This window comes from Homo sapiens, chromosome 3 (genome assembly GCF_000001405.40).
Source record: "Homo sapiens chromosome 3, GRCh38.p14 Primary Assembly".
NCBI classification, from domain to species: domain Eukaryota; kingdom Metazoa; phylum Chordata; class Mammalia; order Primates; family Hominidae; genus Homo; species Homo sapiens.
This window is the reverse complement of record NC_000003.12, coordinates 185,489,282-185,505,610: the sequence shown is the minus strand read 5'-3', so window position 1 is coordinate 185,505,610 and position 16,329 is coordinate 185,489,282. Positions and strand designations below refer to the sequence as shown.

At 47.0% G+C, this 16,329-nt stretch overlaps 1 protein-coding gene and 1 long non-coding RNA gene across 5 annotated transcripts, besides 1 other annotated feature; one reads left to right on the top strand and one right to left on the bottom strand.

Annotated features, from left to right (window-relative positions):
* Positions 1-866: 866 nt before the first annotated feature.
* Positions 867-6,462, bottom strand: TMEM41A-DT (TMEM41A divergent transcript). 3 transcript variants are annotated; one of them, XR_924792.3, is made up of 3 exons: positions 5,841-6,462; positions 2,028-2,167; positions 867-1,348 (listed from the first exon to the last, which is right to left on the bottom strand). It is a non-coding gene; the product is annotated as a TMEM41A divergent transcript (long non-coding RNA). The 3 variants fall into 3 exon arrangements; XR_924793.3 differs by having other exon boundaries at positions 1,119-1,348; positions 2,045-2,167; XR_007096201.1 differs by lacking the exons at positions 867-1,348; positions 2,028-2,167 and adding an exon at positions 4,455-5,667.
* Positions 6,455-6,594: a silencer, noted in NCBI's record as "silent region_14975". NCBI's record gives its function as "represses an Ori minimal core promoter by ATAC-STARR-seq in GM12878 lymphoblastoid cells {active_cell/tissue: GM12878}" and the evidence as "EXISTENCE:reporter gene assay evidence [ECO:0000049][PMID:35858748]".
* On the top strand, positions 6,576-16,010 carry TMEM41A (transmembrane protein 41A). 2 transcript variants are annotated; one of them, NM_080652.4, is made up of 5 exons: positions 6,576-6,768; positions 8,630-8,783; positions 10,296-10,457; positions 10,850-10,988; positions 13,854-16,010. In NM_080652.4, the coding sequence occupies exons 1-5, from the start codon at positions 6,650-6,652 to the stop codon at positions 14,072-14,074; spliced, it is 795 nt and encodes a 264-aa protein (NP_542383.1). In that variant the 5' UTR covers positions 6,576-6,649; the 3' UTR covers positions 14,075-16,010. The 2 variants fall into 2 exon arrangements, with proteins under 2 accessions (NP_542383.1, XP_016862926.1); XM_017007437.2 differs by lacking the exon at positions 10,296-10,457.
* Positions 16,011-16,329: the final 319 nt, after the last annotated feature.

Here is a 16,329-nt window from a genome sequence, read left to right as displayed (position 1 = left end):
CCACTAGACTGCTCTGCAAGGCAGGAGCCATGTGCTTACCATATAGTCTGCTTTCAGGAAACATTTATTAAATGAACACTCTTTGTTATTTTCTGAGCCCCATGGAACCATGTTCAGTTGTGAGTAAAGACTTGCCCTCCACCCTAGCCATAGTCTGTTTCCATGAGGGTGCCTAACCTTCTGTGCCTTAGACTTTTCTCCCAGACACCTTCATTACTATTGTCTCCATTATCTTTGGAGGCCAATAGCCCATTTCCCAGACTTCCTGGAAAAGAGAGAAGTTGGCTCCTTTGTCACTTTTTTTTTTTTTTGAGATGGAGTCTTGCTCTGTTGCCCAGCTGGAGTGCAGTGACCTGATCTCAGTTCACTGCAACCTCCACCTCATGGGTTCAAGCTATTCTGCCTCAGCCTCCCGAGTAGCTGGGCTTGCAGGCACATGCCACCATGCCCAGCTAATTTTTGTATTTTTAGTAGAGACAGGGTTTCACCATGTTGGCCAGGCTGGTCTCAAACTCCTGAACTCCGGAGATCTGCCTGCCTTGGCCTCCCAAAGTGCTGGGATTATAGGTGTGAGCCACTACACCCTGCCCCTTTGTCACTTCTTATCACATCTTCCAGGTGGTCCCAACACCTCACAAGCTCACCTGTCGAAAATCTAGGGGATTTTGTCCTTACATCCTCATTTTAGCACCATTGCCAAAATGCTCCAGGACCTTACAACATTAGTGGAGGATGCCAAGCTGTAGTTATAACCCTCCCTTGTTTGCTTTTCCATGACTCTCCTTTCCACCACTCACTTTGCTGCCAACTTCGTATGTTGTATTAGTCCCTTCTCAGGCTGCTATGAAGAAATACCCAAGACTGGGTAATTTATAAAGGAAAGAGATTTAATTGACTCACAGTTCCACATGGCTGAGGAGGCCTCAGGAAACTTACAATCGTGATGGAAGGGAAACCAAACACATCCTTCTTTACATGGTGGCAGGAGAGAGAAGAATGAGAGCTGAGTGAAGGGGGAAGCCCCTTATAAAACCATCAGATCTCATGAGAACTCACTATCACGAGAATAACATGGGGGAAACTACCCTTATGATTCAATTACCTCCGACTGGGCCCCTCCCACCACAAGTGGGGATTATGGGAACTACAATTCAGGATGAGATTTGGTGGGGCCACAGTCAAACCATATCATACGTGCTTCTGTCACTGCTGTTACGCTGTGTTGTAATTTGTTTCCGTGTCTTTAACTCCTCCAAGACTGTGACCTCCACAAGAGCAGCTGCTATTTATTTTTGGCTCTCTAGCACCTAGCACAATGCTAGGCACAGAGTAGGTGCTTGATAAATGTCTGTTGGACAGAATGGAATGGATGATGCTTAGAAACTTGAGGGAATCACCTCCATTCTGACTTAGACATCAACACACTTAACAATGTTATTTCTAAAGTCCTAAACTTAGAACCTCCTACCCTTGGGCTCCTGCCCCTTGCTCTCATTCCTATAGAACTCCATTATAGCCAAGGAGACTTTGGATGCAAGGGACAGGAATCCACTCACACCCCAATTTAATAGGTTATTGAGAGAGAGAGAGAGGACTTGTGGAAACCCAGGAAGAGGTGATCCACCAAATCTCAGGAAGGGCAGGGATGGGGCAGCCCTAGAGCCTTCAGCAACAAGAGTTCGTGGGCCTTTATTAACCCTAGTGCTCTGCCATGAATCTCTTTGACTGAGCTCAGCTCCCTTCATGGGGCAGCCTCATTGGGTTCTTGGCCACTCACTGACTAGGTGGCCCAATTCCAAAGTCCAGGGACAGGAAACAGCCCTTGGCTCCTCCTCCTGAGGAAGACATCTATCCAGTTCCAATCAGTCATGGTTGGGGTGGGGGTGGGGAAGCAAAATCACATGGACTTCAGAGCTATTCTTTTCAAGTGCTCTAGGCAAGTCTGATTAAGCCAGAAAAGGTTGGCTGCTCTTCACAAAGAGGCACAGTAAATGCCAGGCTAACTCACTCCCACAGGAACGTCTTACCTGTTCTTTTCTCCCACCTGTTTCCCAATCCAGCATGTGCCTGGGAAAGGACTGCAGTTGACAGAGGATTGCAGCTGTCCTTTGTCAGACTGTGTGGGCCTGTGCTGTAAATGAGTGGCCTCGATGGGGGCTGCTGCAGCCTGCGGGAGGTGCACTGGGTGGTTAGAGTCAGCTCTGCAGGTACTGGGTTGGGGGCCAGGAGGGTTGGGAATACTGAGATTGGGGAAACACAGTCCAGGGCTTCTTCCCTAGGCAGACAGGTTGAGCGAGAAGAATGACAACATGAGTCCAGGGGGCAGGTCAGAGGAAGCAAGCAGATGCTCCAGTTGTGAGCCTGTAGCAAAGAAGGTTAGCACCACCAAAAATAGCTCCATCAAAGGTCCCTTATCGCCTCGTGTTGGCCAATTGCCATGACCCTCAGGTTTCCCTGCTGGGTTTCTCCATGGACTCTGACACTTGCCCCAGTTCCTTTCCTAACAGTCTTTCTTGGGCTCTCAGGACATTTCTTTTTTTCTGTTTCTCATCTCACAAATGAAACAGTGCATCTTGTTCTCTTTCACTGTTTCCACCATTTCCTTACCAGGCTCCTGATTTCAGTCTTCTTTCTCAAAAGGGTAGTGCATGGTAAGACATTTGGGCTCTGCTGTTTGCGAGGTGTGTGACCTCTGTTGCTCTGTTGACTTCATTCTTCCTAAGCTTCATTTTCCCAGGCTATAAATGTGGGACTGTTAAGAGTTCCTACTTTAGACCGGGCATGGTGGCTGAAGCCTGTAATCTCAGCACTCTGTGGGGCCAAGGCAGGAGGAACACCACAGGCCAGAAGTTCAAGACTAGCCTGGGCAACACAGTAATACCCTGTCCCTCAAAAAAGAGTTCCTACTTAATGAGGGTTGTTATATGGAATAAATAAATATATAATAGAATAAATAAATAAATAAATAAATAAATAAATAAATAAACAAATTGACAAGGCAAAACTTATTCCACTTCAGCAAAGCAAGTGTCAATATTCTACTTATGGATGAGTGGAGGAACACATGTTCAGATGAAATCACTTGTGCAAAGTGATTTCACTTTTACTTTTAAAAGTGTAAAAGGCTTAGTATGGGCCAGGTGCGGTGGCTCACGCCTGTAATCCCAGCACTTTGGGAGACTGAGGCGGGCAGATCATGAGGTCAGGAGATCAAGACCATCCTGACTAACACGATGAAATGCTGGCTCTACTAAAAATACAAAAAATTAGCTGGGCGTGGTGGCACACACCTGTAGTCCCAGCTACTTGGGAGGCTGAGGCAGGAGAATCGCTTGAACCCAAGAGGAGGAGGTTGCAGTGAGCCGAGATTGCACCACTGCACTCCAGCCAGGGCAACAGAGCGAGACTCCATCTCAAAAAAAAAAATGCTTAGTATGGGGTCTGGAGTGTACTAAGTACTCAATGAAAGTCAGCTGCTGTTACTTTCCCTCTCTTGTGGTTTCTAGGAGACCTTCTCCCCTCCCCTCATTTCAACTATCTCCTGTAGAATGACCTCCAAATCTGAATGTTCGGTCCGAGCTCCAGAGTGTCACCTGCATGTCGAATGGCAGTGAAGGGCAGAGGAAAAAGCATGGCCGCACATGATGGCAGACAAAGGCTTGTTCCTGTTCAGCACTAACAGCTGTAAACTTTGCACAAGTGATTTCATCTGAACATGTGTTCATCCACTCATCCATAAGTAGAATATTGACACTCGCTTTGCTGAAGTGGAATAAGTTTTGCCTTGTCTATTTCATCCATGGCACTTACCATGCTCTAGAATGACATCTTTCCATGCTCTTCCCCAGCTGAAATGAAAGTGAGGTCCTTGCCAGCAGGAGCCTTGCCTCCTTTCTCCTCACTCTATTCCTTGCCCCAGCAGTCTCCTAGCACAGGCTCAGTAACATCAGTTCCTCATTCACTTTCTCTCCTCCTATATCCCTTTGACTTCTCAAGGTCAGTATGTATCAAACCAAACAACTAATCATTGTCTTCACTAGACCTGACCCATGAATTTAACAAACAAGTATTAAGTGCCAGGGTTAAGGGTTGAGACAGAAAGAAGATAGTTGAGACATTGTCTCATTGATGGAAATGTTCACTGTCTACTAGGGAGATGGATAATGACACTGGAATATGTATTTGTGACAGGATTAGAGACATTTCTCAGGGGGCCCCAAGCATAGAGAAGGAATGATTCTGACTATAGGGGTTGGAAAAGCCCTCTCAGAGAAGGTGATAATTATCCTGGGTCCTGATGAAAGAGTAGAAATTTGCCAGGCAGAGAAGATTGACAGATGGCTAGAAGAGTGGTGTGATGGGGCATGAACTAACATGGTGTGTTCAGCTGGAATGGAGGGCTGACACCATTTTCCCCCATTTTCTTAAGTGGAAATTTGACACATACACAAGAATAGAAAAAAAAATAGTTTAACACCCAAATAGTATAAAACACCCAGGTGATCACCCAGCTTCAACAACTATCAGCTCATGGACAATCTTGTTCTACCTACATGCTTACTCACTAAACCCCCATACCATTATTTTGACACAAATCTCAGACATTGAATAATTTCATTTGTAAATAATTTTTGGTTCTACATGCTATAACAATTCTGTGAAAAAAATTTTAAATAAATAAATACTTTGGTATCTTAAAAAGTTAAAGTATATCCTCTTTTTGTCCTTAAAAAGGAGTGATACATAGCATACTCTAACACTGCAACTTGTTTGTTTTATTTGTATCTTAGCCATCTATCTGGTGACCACACTGTATCAGGATATGTAGAATTGCTTTCCTCTTTTAGGAGGCTACCTAGTATTCCATTTGTGAATAGTTAACCTAGCCAGTCACCAGCTGATGGGCATTTAGGTTGTTCCCAATCTCCTAACATAAAAACAAAGCTGAGAGAATACCCTTAAATATACATCTTTGCTACCTATGGGGATTCTTGGATGTGGAATTAAATTCCAGTACATTCTTGGATGTAGGTTACATTCTTGGACGTAGAATTGCTGAGATCTTGTGCACATGGATTCTGAAAGGTGCTCCCTATTTGGCCCAACAGGTGCTTTAAATGATAGGACAAGGATGCTTTCTCTCTGTTGTCCAGGCTTTTGACACTTTGGAGTTCTCTTTCTGTCCCTTCCTTCGTTTACTCAGTGACATATCATACCAATCCAACTACCCCCAGCCTCCTCCCTCCATGTCCACTGCTGTGGTCCTGGGTCAGGCCTGAGTGCTTTCTTTCTTTCTTTTTTGAGACAAAATTTCGCTCTTGTCGCCAAGGCTGGAGTGCAGTGGTGCAATGTCGGGAAAGTAACTGCAACCTCTGCCTTCCAGGTTCAAGCGATTCTCGTGCCTCAGCCTCCCGAGTAGCTGGGATTACAGGCACATGCCATCATGCTCGGCTAATTATTGTATTTTTAGTACAGACGGGGTTTCACCATGTTGGACAGGCTGGTCTCGAACTCCTGACATCAAGTGATCCGCCCGCCTGGGCCTCCCAAAATCCTCGGATTACAGGCGTGAGCCACCATGCCCAGCCAGGCCGGCGTACTTTCTTATCAGGACAGTTGTGGCTATCAAGTCAGCACGTATTCTAATCATCTGCCAAAGCGAACATCCTAAAACAGGAACGAAATCATTCTCTTACTTAAACACCTCTGTTGGTGTCTCATCTACATTATTAAAAATCTAACTCCTTAGCCTGCCTTCAGTGCACTCTTGTTTGTCCCCAGATTCTCACTTATTTCTCATATACCTTAGGCTTCACTGAAACTGGATTCTGGTGCCTTACCTGGGACCGTGTTCACCCATTCCCTTCTTTTTCTGCTTGAAGAAAAGTGTTGCTCATCCTTGAAGGTAAACTTAAACTCCATGTCCTCCATAAAGCCACACAGTGTTAAGGGCCACTGGTTTTGGACTCAGGTTGACTTGGATTCTTATACTGTCTCTCTTTTGGGGGGATGTCATTTAATTCTTCTGAAACTCAGAGTTTTCATCTGTTAGAGAAAGACAAAAATACCTACCTTGGAGGATGATTGTGAGGCTCAGGGATGCGGGAATATAGTAGGAGCTGAATTAAAAGCAATTCTGATTATTTCCGTGGTCACTATTGCCGCCCCACCGCACTTGATTGCAGCCCCTGGTGCTACACCAGCTACATTTGCTTTATGTGACAGCAGGTTGTGGACAAGACTGCCTTGATCTCTAGACTGCAAGCTCGCTGTGGGCCGGGCTCACGATTCACCCCCGGATCTCCCAGCCCTGGCACCAAGCCGGCACTGGGGGCGCGCCATGCCTGCAGAATAAGTGGGGAAAGCGACAGGGATAAACGTAGAAAAACAAGCACAGACAGACGGAGAGAGGGCAGACTGGGAGGCAGGTTTTTCCCGGAGTCTCCACCGAAGGACAGAGAGGGCGGAGTCAGAATCGGGGGCGGGGGCCTGGCTCAGGAGGTGGGGCCTGGTTCGGAGGCGGGTCTCGGCGCGGACCCCTCCCTGGTCCGTCAGTGAACGTGCTCCGCGGGCTCAGTCCGCCCGCCGCTGCGTCCCGGAGTGCAAGTGAGCTTCTCGGCTGCCCCGCGGGCCGGGGTGCGGAGCCGACATGCGCCCGCTTCTCGGCCTCCTTCTGGTCTTCGCCGGCTGCACCTTCGCCTTGTACTTGCTGTCGACGCGACTGCCCCGCGGGCGGAGACTGGGCTCCACCGAGGAGGCTGGAGGCAGGTGCGTGGCGGGAATCCGGGTTCGGGTCAGAGGAAGGGAGCCGGGTCCGAGGACCGGGGCTGGGAATCGGAGATTCGGAGATTCGGGTTCCGGTATCGGAGGCGTTGGGAATTGAGGTTCACTTATCGGACTGGAATCCGGGTCTGGTATCCGGGCCCGCGTCCGCACGGTCTCGGACAGAAGGGTGGATGGGAGCCCGGCTCCGGGCCTGACTGGGACCTGTGTGGTGCTGGCTGCAGGGTGTGCAGGGCGTCACGCCGCGGTGCCTTTGGTTGGGTGGATTTGCCGAGGGAGACGCGGCGCTGAGCCTGCCCGCGCCGTTGCTTTCCCAGTCCCAGCCCTGGGCCCCATTTCCAGCCCACCTTCGCCCCCGTGCGGGCCCCCAGCCTCTTCAAGTCCACTTTCAACTGTCTCTCCTCCTCCCCACCCCACTTACGTCAGGTCTGCCCTTGAGACTTTAGACATTAGATCTTCAGGAGAAATATTGCATAGACAACTTTAAATTATTCACGAATTAATTATCGACTCTGCCCGTCTTCCTGGTTGTCTCTACTTTTACCTTTTTTTTTTTTTTTTCTGAGACGGAGTCTTGCTCTGTCACCCAGGCTGGAGTGCAGTGGCGCGATCTCGGCTCACTTTAACCTCCTCCTCCCGGGTTCAAGCGATTCACCTGCCTCAGTTTCCCAAGTAATTGGGACTACAGGCGCGCGCCACCACGGCCGGCTAATTTTTGTATTTTTAGTAGGGACGCGGGGGGGGGGTCTCATTATGTTGGCCAGGCTGGTCTCGAACTCCTGACCTCAGGTAATCCGCCTGCCTCAGCCTCCCAAAGTGTTGGGATTACAGGCGTGAGCCATCGCGCCTGGCCTCCTTTTCCCCTTCTAATGAACGACTGGTCGAGGCAGGAGGCAGAGCAATACTTACCTGGCCGGTTTTTGTGAGTGCTGCATACTCTTTATAAAGTGCATGGAAGTGTGCCTAGTACAGCATTGCGTGGTTAAGGGAATTACTGATATTTGACTATTAAGGCAGCTGTTTTCAGTTACTGTATTCTTTTGCTGTAGCTAAGAAGGCTCTGCTGTGGGTGTCGGACATACCGAGAGAAACTCTCGTGAGAAGTAGGAGGGTTTGCTCATGATTAATCAGTGATGGATTCAAGGACTGTTCAGATGGCAGAGGCAAGATAGCCTTGCTACTATAACCCTTGGGCAGGATTCAAAGTGCATTGAGGACCAGATTAAGAGCAGAGTTAAATAGTAGGCTCTTTGAAAGGGTTCGATTCAAGCCTGACATATTATCAAAAAAGTTACATTTATCCTATGGGATAGATATACTTTCCTGAAGAATCTCTAATTGGCTTTATAGTGAATGCTAAAAAGTCGTTTTACTTGGCACCTCAGGAACAGTTTGAAGTCTGAATTGTTCTTGGTTTGTGGGGGAGGCAGTGTCCTTGAAAGGAAGGCAATTTGAGACATTTAGAACTTGCCTGGAAATGAATCCATTTGCCTCTTAAGAACAGATTCTAAAATCCCAGAGCTAAAGGGGAACTTAATGACTGTTTAGCACCAACCTCTCACTTTTTAGATAAGGAAAGAGACTCAGGGACTAGTCCAAGGACGTAAAACAGAAAGTAGCAGGGTTGGGATGCTAACCCAGGTCTCTTGCTTCCAAACTAGGGCTCTCCTGTCTGTCTCCGCAACGTCGTATCAGGTCATCTGTCATTGGGAGTGTATGTGTTCCCAGCAGATCAGATGATGGGCATATTTATAAACCTACTCTGAAAAGAAGACACAGCGAGTGACTTTCATGGGCACTGGACTGATCTGAACTCATGTTTCCATCTGCTTTTCCAAATCCCCAGGTCGCTGTGGTTCCCCTCCGACCTGGCAGAGCTGCGGGAGCTCTCTGAGGTCCTTCGAGAGTACCGGAAGGAGCACCAGGCCTACGTGTTCCTGCTCTTCTGCGGCGCCTACCTCTACAAACAGGGCTTTGCCATCCCCGGCTCCAGCTTCCTGGTCAGTGTCCTGCCCTCCCTCCAACCCTGTTTCCTTATCTGTAAAATTTGGATACTCCCCTGTAACCTCATGGGATTGTTGTGTGGGGATGATTAAAAGTGACAGTGGGTGTATCGGGGCTGGCACACAGTGGCCCTCAGCACTTACGGAGGGATTGAGCACCGAAGTGGGAGACACTGACAGCTTCCTTTTGTACTGCTTCCCTCTCCCACCCCAGCCTGTTTCTCTCCTCTAGGCTGAGGCTGGACCTGCTCAAACAGTTTCCTTGTCGGAAACTAGAAGAAAAGCAAACATGTCCAAGAGAGGCAGGGGAGGTGTGTGGGGCTCGGGGTCAGGGGCTGACTCCTTGAGGCTGCCCTGTGTCTGTCTTCTGTCTTGAACTGATCCCTCTTCAGGGCAGAGAGCCAGCTGCTGCTTGGTGGGGGCTCCACATCCAGACCTGAGGGTGAACCCTGACTCTGCCTGCTGTGCTCTTGGGGAGGATACTTAATCTCTCACCTGTAGAATGGGGCAAGGATGGCATGACTCAGGGATGTAGTGAGGATTACACAGGACATGTAGTCAAGCACTTAACACAGTGCTTAGCGGCTCCCCAGCTTCCCACTTCCAAGGCTTCCTTTTACTTTCTCTCTTGGATCCCATGTTTTGTCAGGATGATGTCTACCAACCAAAATGCATTTAGGAAGTATTGGTTCACTTTTCCCTTTTTCTTAAACCAAGACATCTTCAAATGTCTGCTAGAGCTCTGGTCAACATGGAACCCCGGTATTAACATACTGCATAGATGTAATTCCAGCAAAAAGCAAAGAAACAAGACATCTTACATAGCTTGTGTGGTCTTACCAAGGGAAAATTCATGGTTTGTGTTCATCTTTTGAAATAGTAAAAATAACTCGTGAGTTTCATTTCTACTTTCTTGGAGCCCCAGTCATTGCAGAATCTACCACAGCCACAGATCCCATTTCATTCTCTCCTGCCCCCTGAGGCTTTTATCCTTATCCTCATTTTCAAGGTGAAGAGACTGACGGCAGGTGTAGTTCCCAGCCTTTTCATAATTTTTCATTCACCTCTTTAAATGGCAATTGGGACCTGGGGCAGTGGCTCACGCCTGTAATCCTAGCACTTTGGGAGGCTGAGGTGGGAGGATCACTTGAGTCCGGGAGTTTGAAACCAGCCTGGGCAACACAGTGAGACCCCATCTCCACAAAAAATTTTAAAAAGTGGGTGAATGTGGTGGTGTGTGCCTACAGTCCTAGCTGCTTGGGAGGCTGAGGCAGGAGGATCGCTTGAGTCCAGGAGTTCGAGGATGCAGTGAGCTATGATCATGTCACTGTACTCCAGCCTGGGTGACAGAGCGAGATCCTGTTTCTTAAAAATAAATAAATAACGCAATTGGGTTTTAGCTGGAAAAAAGCAGTGAAGGAGGAGGGAACCTATGACTCTCAGGCTCCAAGATGACGTGCCTGGTAGCTGCCAGATGTTCACATGCCTGAGGGTTTGTTTTATTTGCAGAATGTTTTAGCTGGTGCCTTGTTTGGGCCATGGCTGGGGCTTCTGCTGTGCTGTGTGTTGACCTCGGTGGGTGCCACATGCTGCTACCTGCTCTCCAGTATTTTTGGCAAACAGTTGGTGGTGTCCTACTTTCCTGATAAAGTGGCCCTGCTGCAGAGAAAGGTAAGGGGAGGGGTCACATCTGAGAGCTGGGACCCCAGACAGTCGCTACGTGCATGGCCTTGAGAGAAGCGAGTGGCAGGGATTTCCCACAGTACTCTTCCACGCTGTTTCAGGAGGTCCTAGGGGTTCTTTTGATGTCTTCAGGAGACATAGACCTGGGATCAAATCCCAGCTCCATCATTACCAGCTCTGTGACTTTGGGCAAGTTCTTGACTTCTCTGATCCTCAGCATGTCTATTTTAAAATGAGGAAAACAGTCTTTCCCTGGAGGGTTGTTGGAAGAATTGGGAACAGATTATGTAAAGTGTCTAGAACAGTGCCTGGCACCAGCAGGTTTTCAACACCTGGAGACCCTTTCTGCTTCTTAACAGCTTTCTTCTCTTTGGCTACAGGTGGAGGAGAACAGAAACAGCTTGTTTTTTTTCTTATTGTTTTTGAGACTTTTCCCCATGACACCAAACTGGTTCTTGAACCTCTCGGCCCCAATTCTGAACATTCCCATCGTGCAGTTCTTCTTCTCAGTTCTTATCGGTAAGATGCTAGTGGGGTAGGTTTGAGTCTTCAGAGCTGTCACGCTGGGGGTCTGCCCTGGGTTATTGGCCACGTGAGCATGTGCCTGCTTCTGAGAACACAGGCTCACAAAGTGTGACTTCAAGCCTTATGATCTAAAGAAATGATTCCTGATTTCAGATCTGCTCAGGCTTCAACATGAAAACCCATAAAAATACTTTTGGACTAAATAAAGATTGTCCATTGCATGGCTGTATGCACTAGGCACTGGGATTAGAAGAGATGGTCTGTGTAAAGTATACAAATTGGCCCATAGTAAGTACTCAGTAAATGCTAGCAGGAAGAGCAGGGTTGGAATGAGGGTGTGTGTCCATGAGTTTTGAGTGGGGACAGAAGAAAGGAGCAGAGCAAGGGACTTCCTGTCTGGTTTTTGGCCCCTGTTTTGATTAAGTTCTGCCTTAGGAATTGCTGGCATCAGTGTGGTTCCTTCCTGCCTTTTGACAATTGCACAACCTGCAGCAAGCTACTTACCCTCAATGGACCACCTGGCTAGGAATAGAGCAGTGTTTCTCAAAGTGTGGGCTTTGGGCCACCTTCATCAGATTGTTAGGGTCAGGGGGCTTGTTGAGAATCTAGATTTGGGGCCTACTCCAGACCTACTGAATCAGAATCTTGGGAGTGGAATCTGGGAATATGCATTTTAATCCAGTTCCTAGTCAGTCATTTTCAAACTGCAAACCCAGTCATTCTCAAACTGCAAACCTATTAAGAATCGCCTGCAAACCTATTAAAAATCACTTGGAGGCCGGGCTGAGTGGCTCACACCTGTAATCCCAGCACTTTGGGAGGTTGAGGCGGGTGGATCACTTGAGGTTGGGAGTTCAAGACCAGCCTGGCCAACATGGTGAAACCCCATCTCTACTAAAAATACAAAAATTAGCCTGACATGGTGGTGTGCGTCTGTAATTCAACTACTTGGGAGGCTGAGGCAGGAGAATGGCTTGAACCTGGGAGGCGGAGGTTGCAGTAAGCTGAGAGGATGACACTTCACTCCAGCCTGGGTGACAGAGTGAGGCTCCATCTCAAGAAAAAAAGCAAAAAAACAAAAACAAACAAAACAACAAAACATCACCTGTGGAGATTTTAATCCCTAAGCTAAGGCTACACCACACATCAACTAAATCATCTCTGGGGTAGGACTCAGGGATCAGGATCTTTTAACATTTTCCAGGTGATGCAAGTAGTTAGTCCCTAAAAGGGATTCCGCTGGATCCTGAGTTTTGCAGTCTACTGAATTAGACGATATCTAAAGTTTCTCCTTGCCTTTGACAATTATATGACCTGCAGCGAGCTACTTAGTCTGAACGGGCTACTCGTCCAGATAAGGGGCTGGGACTAGAGCAGTGTTTCTTGAAGTATGGGCCTTGGACCACCTTTATCAGAGTGGTAAAGTGCTAACATCCTATAAAATCAGTGTTTGCTACTTTCTCCATACTGGAAGAAAACCACCCTCCTTAAGCCTAAGGCAAGGATCTCTTCTCTTAAACCTCCCTTAGATCCTAGAGGGAAAGACGATTCAGGGCTTCTAGGTCAAACAGAGCAAATCTGTGGTTGAGCAGCTGCTATTCATAGGAGATACCTGAGAGAAATGGAGATCTTAAATAGAAGCAAGATCTACCACGGCCAATTTTGGTCATATTGGCTTTCAGACAAAGTGCCTCAGGCCCTCAGCTAGTGGGGGTTTGCTGCTTCTAATTACCTAGGTGGCATGAGGCTTGGCAAGATTCTGGAGACCAGGCTTCCTGTCCTCTGTCTCACAAGCTGTGTGACCCTGAGGGGTCTGGGATCTTCATCTCCTGTATACTTCCTCTCCTATAGAAGAGAAATGGACTATCAGAGTGTTCCAAACCAATCGGAATCTCAGGGTGGGAGTGGAGAAGGGGCTTTTAAAATACAGGTTCCTGGGCACTACCCCAGAACCAAGTACCCAGAATTTCTGGGGTGGAGCCCAAGGATGTGGTTTTTTAACAATGTCACCAGCTGATTGTTCTGCAGCCAGCCTGTTCAGCCAGCCAGACTTTTGGAATCCAGTGGATTTGATGACATCTTTGAGACAGTACAGAATGTGAATAGTACTTCTTTTAAAAAACTGTTTGTCAACAATGGCACTTCTCTCTTTACTTTGGCTGTTGGGTACTCAGAACCAAATTTGGGGCCCACTTTTGGCAAACAGGTGAACCTTATGCATTTTTTTACTAACTGTACTCCCTGATGTCTTGTATTCTTCTGCACGCATTTTGCTTTTCCTATTTAAAATTTTATTTATTTATTTATTTATTTTTGAGACAGAGTCTAGCTCTATCGCCTGGGCTGAAGTGCAGTGGTAAGATCTTGGCTCACTGCCACCTCTGCCTCCCAGGTTCCAGTGATTCTCCTGCCTCAGCCTCCTGAGTAGCTAGGATTACAGGCACATGCCACCACACCCGGCTAATTTTTGTGTTTTTAGTAGAGACGGGGTTTCACCATGTTGGCCAGGCTGATCTCGAACTCCTGACCTCAGGTGATCCACCTCGGCCTCCCAAAGTGCTGGGATTACAAGCATAAGCCACCATTCCTGGCCCTATTTTAAAATTGTCTTATAGTAGCATGTATTATTTGTGTAAATATCTCAAGTTCTTTTGTTGAACAAGACAGGCATATATGGGAAGTGAGGAAAGGAGGGAAAATAATAGAAAAGAAGGAAAGAAGGGAAAGAGTTAATATGTATAAGGGTCAAGAGTCAAGCAAAAAAAAACCGTAGTCACTGTTCCTGGTGACATTCTGAATTATTATTTTCTTAATTTTGCTGCTGCTTGTAACAGGTGCTTTGTCCTTTTCTTCTTCCAGGTTTGATCCCATATAATTTCATCTGTGTGCAGACAGGGTCCATCCTGTCAACCCTAACCTCTCTGGATGCTCTTTTCTCCTGGGACACTGTCTTTAAGCTGTTGGCCATTGCCATGGTGGCATTAATTCCTGGAACCCTCATTAAAAAATTTAGTCAGAAACATCTGCAATTGAATGAAACAAGTACTGCTAATCATATACACAGTAGAAAAGACACATGATCTGGATTTTCTGTTTGCCACATCCCTGGACTCAGTTGCTTATTTGTGTAATGGATGTGGTCCTCTAAAGCCCCTCATTGTTTTTGATTGCCTTCTATAGGTGATGTGGACACTGTGCATCAATGTGCAGTGTCTTTTCAGAAAGGACACTCTGCTCTTGAAGGTGTATTACATCAGGTTTTCAAACCAGCCCTGGTGTAGCAGACACTGCAACAGATGCCTCCTAGAAAATGCTGTTTGTGGCCGGGCGCGGTGGCTCACGCCTGTAATCCCAGCACTTTGGGAGGCCGAGGCCGGTGATTCACAAGGTCAGGAGTTCAAGACCAGCCTGGCCAAGATGGTGAAATCCTGTCTCTAATAAAAATACAAAAATTAGCCAGGCGTGGTGGCAGGCACCTGTAATCCCAGCTACTCGGGAGGCTGAGGCAGGAGAATTGCTTGAACCAAGGTGGCAGAGGTTGCAGTAAGCCAAGATCACACCACTGCACTCCAGCCTGGGTGATAGAGTGAGACACTGTCTTGACAAAAAAAAAAAAAAAAAGAGAAAAAAAGAAAATGCTGTTTGTATTTTGTGGTCTAATAAGGAGTTCGGGATAGCCTGTTGTATTTGCCTCATGCCAGCCCCTGAGCTGCCTTGGGAGAAGATGCTGATTGTCCTTGTCCAGAGTACTGCTTTTGCAGAGTGACAGGCTGCTGGGACAGATGTCCTCCTGTTGCATCTTTGTGGATGTTTAGTACCAATGATGACACGGGAACTCACATCACTGACACCGCTCTTCATCTTCTGTTAGTCTCTTGAAGAGCATTTTTTTGTACTTCTTTGCTGATGACCTACCTCTTCATAAGCCAAGTGAAACAAGTTGACGAACTGCCTAGGACTTCCACGTGTTGCTCACATACATGATGATTTCTGTCACGCTCTTGTGTTCAGACACACTGACATTACCATGTATGTCAGACCTCCTTATGATCGCATGTCCTGACAGTTAAGCTGATTGCAAACAGACTATTAAATATGAATGGAGCAAACGCTGTATGTCATGGATATGTTCTGGAGAAATTCTTACCCATCTGGATGGGGCAGGGCCCTTGACTCACCTGAATCATGACCAGGCAAACATTTTATCTGTCCTTTCTGCAGGAATCCGTTCTGTGTCATGCTAGGAGAATGGGTTCAGTATATGGGGCCATCAGGCAGTATACCCTCTGAATGTTTTTCATTGTTGTATTTGCTTAGAGTAACTAAACAATTGTATCTTTTAATTTATCTTTTAATTCAAAGAGGAAACCTTGGCTTCTGATAACTTTGTTGTGTTGTATCTTAATGGCCTATAGCTGTCATTACTTCCTGTAGCTGCAGTACAGAATTGTTACAGACCTGGATTAATGCTTCCAAAGACAGAAGGACCTTGGCACCTAAACTGACCAGCCCTGTGATCCTGCACCCCACAGGAGTAACTCATCAGGACTTACCAGACTGCTGCTTTTGGGCATCATCTGCTGGGTTGATGATTTGGTTTGGCCAAGAGTCTTGCCAAGACTTTAATCTATGCCTCTTGTTCTACATGAATTCTTGGGAATTACTCACGTTCCATAGGAAGAGTGCATCCCCAGGTGATGGTTTTTGGTTATGGTATGATCCTTTCACACCGAGGATTTCATTGTTTAAAACGTGTTTCTTTAAAAGAAGCCTTGATAACGAGAGTGGGGGAAGGAGGCAGCAGACTTTGAAGACTGTGGCCTTTGGTGTTCTGGAGTAGGGGGAGGGAAGGAGAAACATGTTTTCCACATCATCGCAAGTGTGTGCCCTTTGCCCCTTTTCAGGATCCTTAGAGTTGCCTCCCTCCCTCCACCCCGACAGTTTTGCAATAATGTGCCTTATCAGTTGTGAGTTTACAGGTGAAGCAATTTCCCAAATAAATGGATGTAAGTGTTCTGTGTGGTGCTTGTTTGAACATGTTGCTAACTTTCAACTACCTTTGCCAGTGGGAATTAGGATTGGCTGAAAATTGGACAGTCCAAAATGGTGTTTTAAGCTTTCCACTCTCAATGCTTCTTACCAAAATAATTTCTCAGAAGCCAGATTTTCATCTTCATTTTCTCTCTCTGCTCCCTGTATAGTGGGGTCAGTAGTAACAGGAGTAGCTACCGGATGGGCAGCAGGAAAGCATAGGGAAGAAGCAGAGTGCCAGTCTAGCTTTTACAGAATACTCAAGAAGAGGCTGTCACCAAATAAAATGATGATTGCCCCTTCC

Bases quoted from the DNA above. Each gene is read 5' to 3' on its own strand.
- TMEM41A (NM_080652.4), top strand. From the start codon at position 6,650: ATGCGCCCGCTTCTCGGCCTCCTTCTGGTCTTCGCCGGCTGCACCTTC. The intron at 10,458-10,849 runs GTAAGGGGAGGG...CTTTGGCTACAG, and splicing joins TGGCCCTGCTGCAGAGAAAG to GTGGAGGAGAACAGAAACAG. The intron at 10,989-13,853 runs GTAAGATGCTAG...TTCTTCTTCCAG, and splicing joins CTTCTTCTCAGTTCTTATCG to GTTTGATCCCATATAATTTC.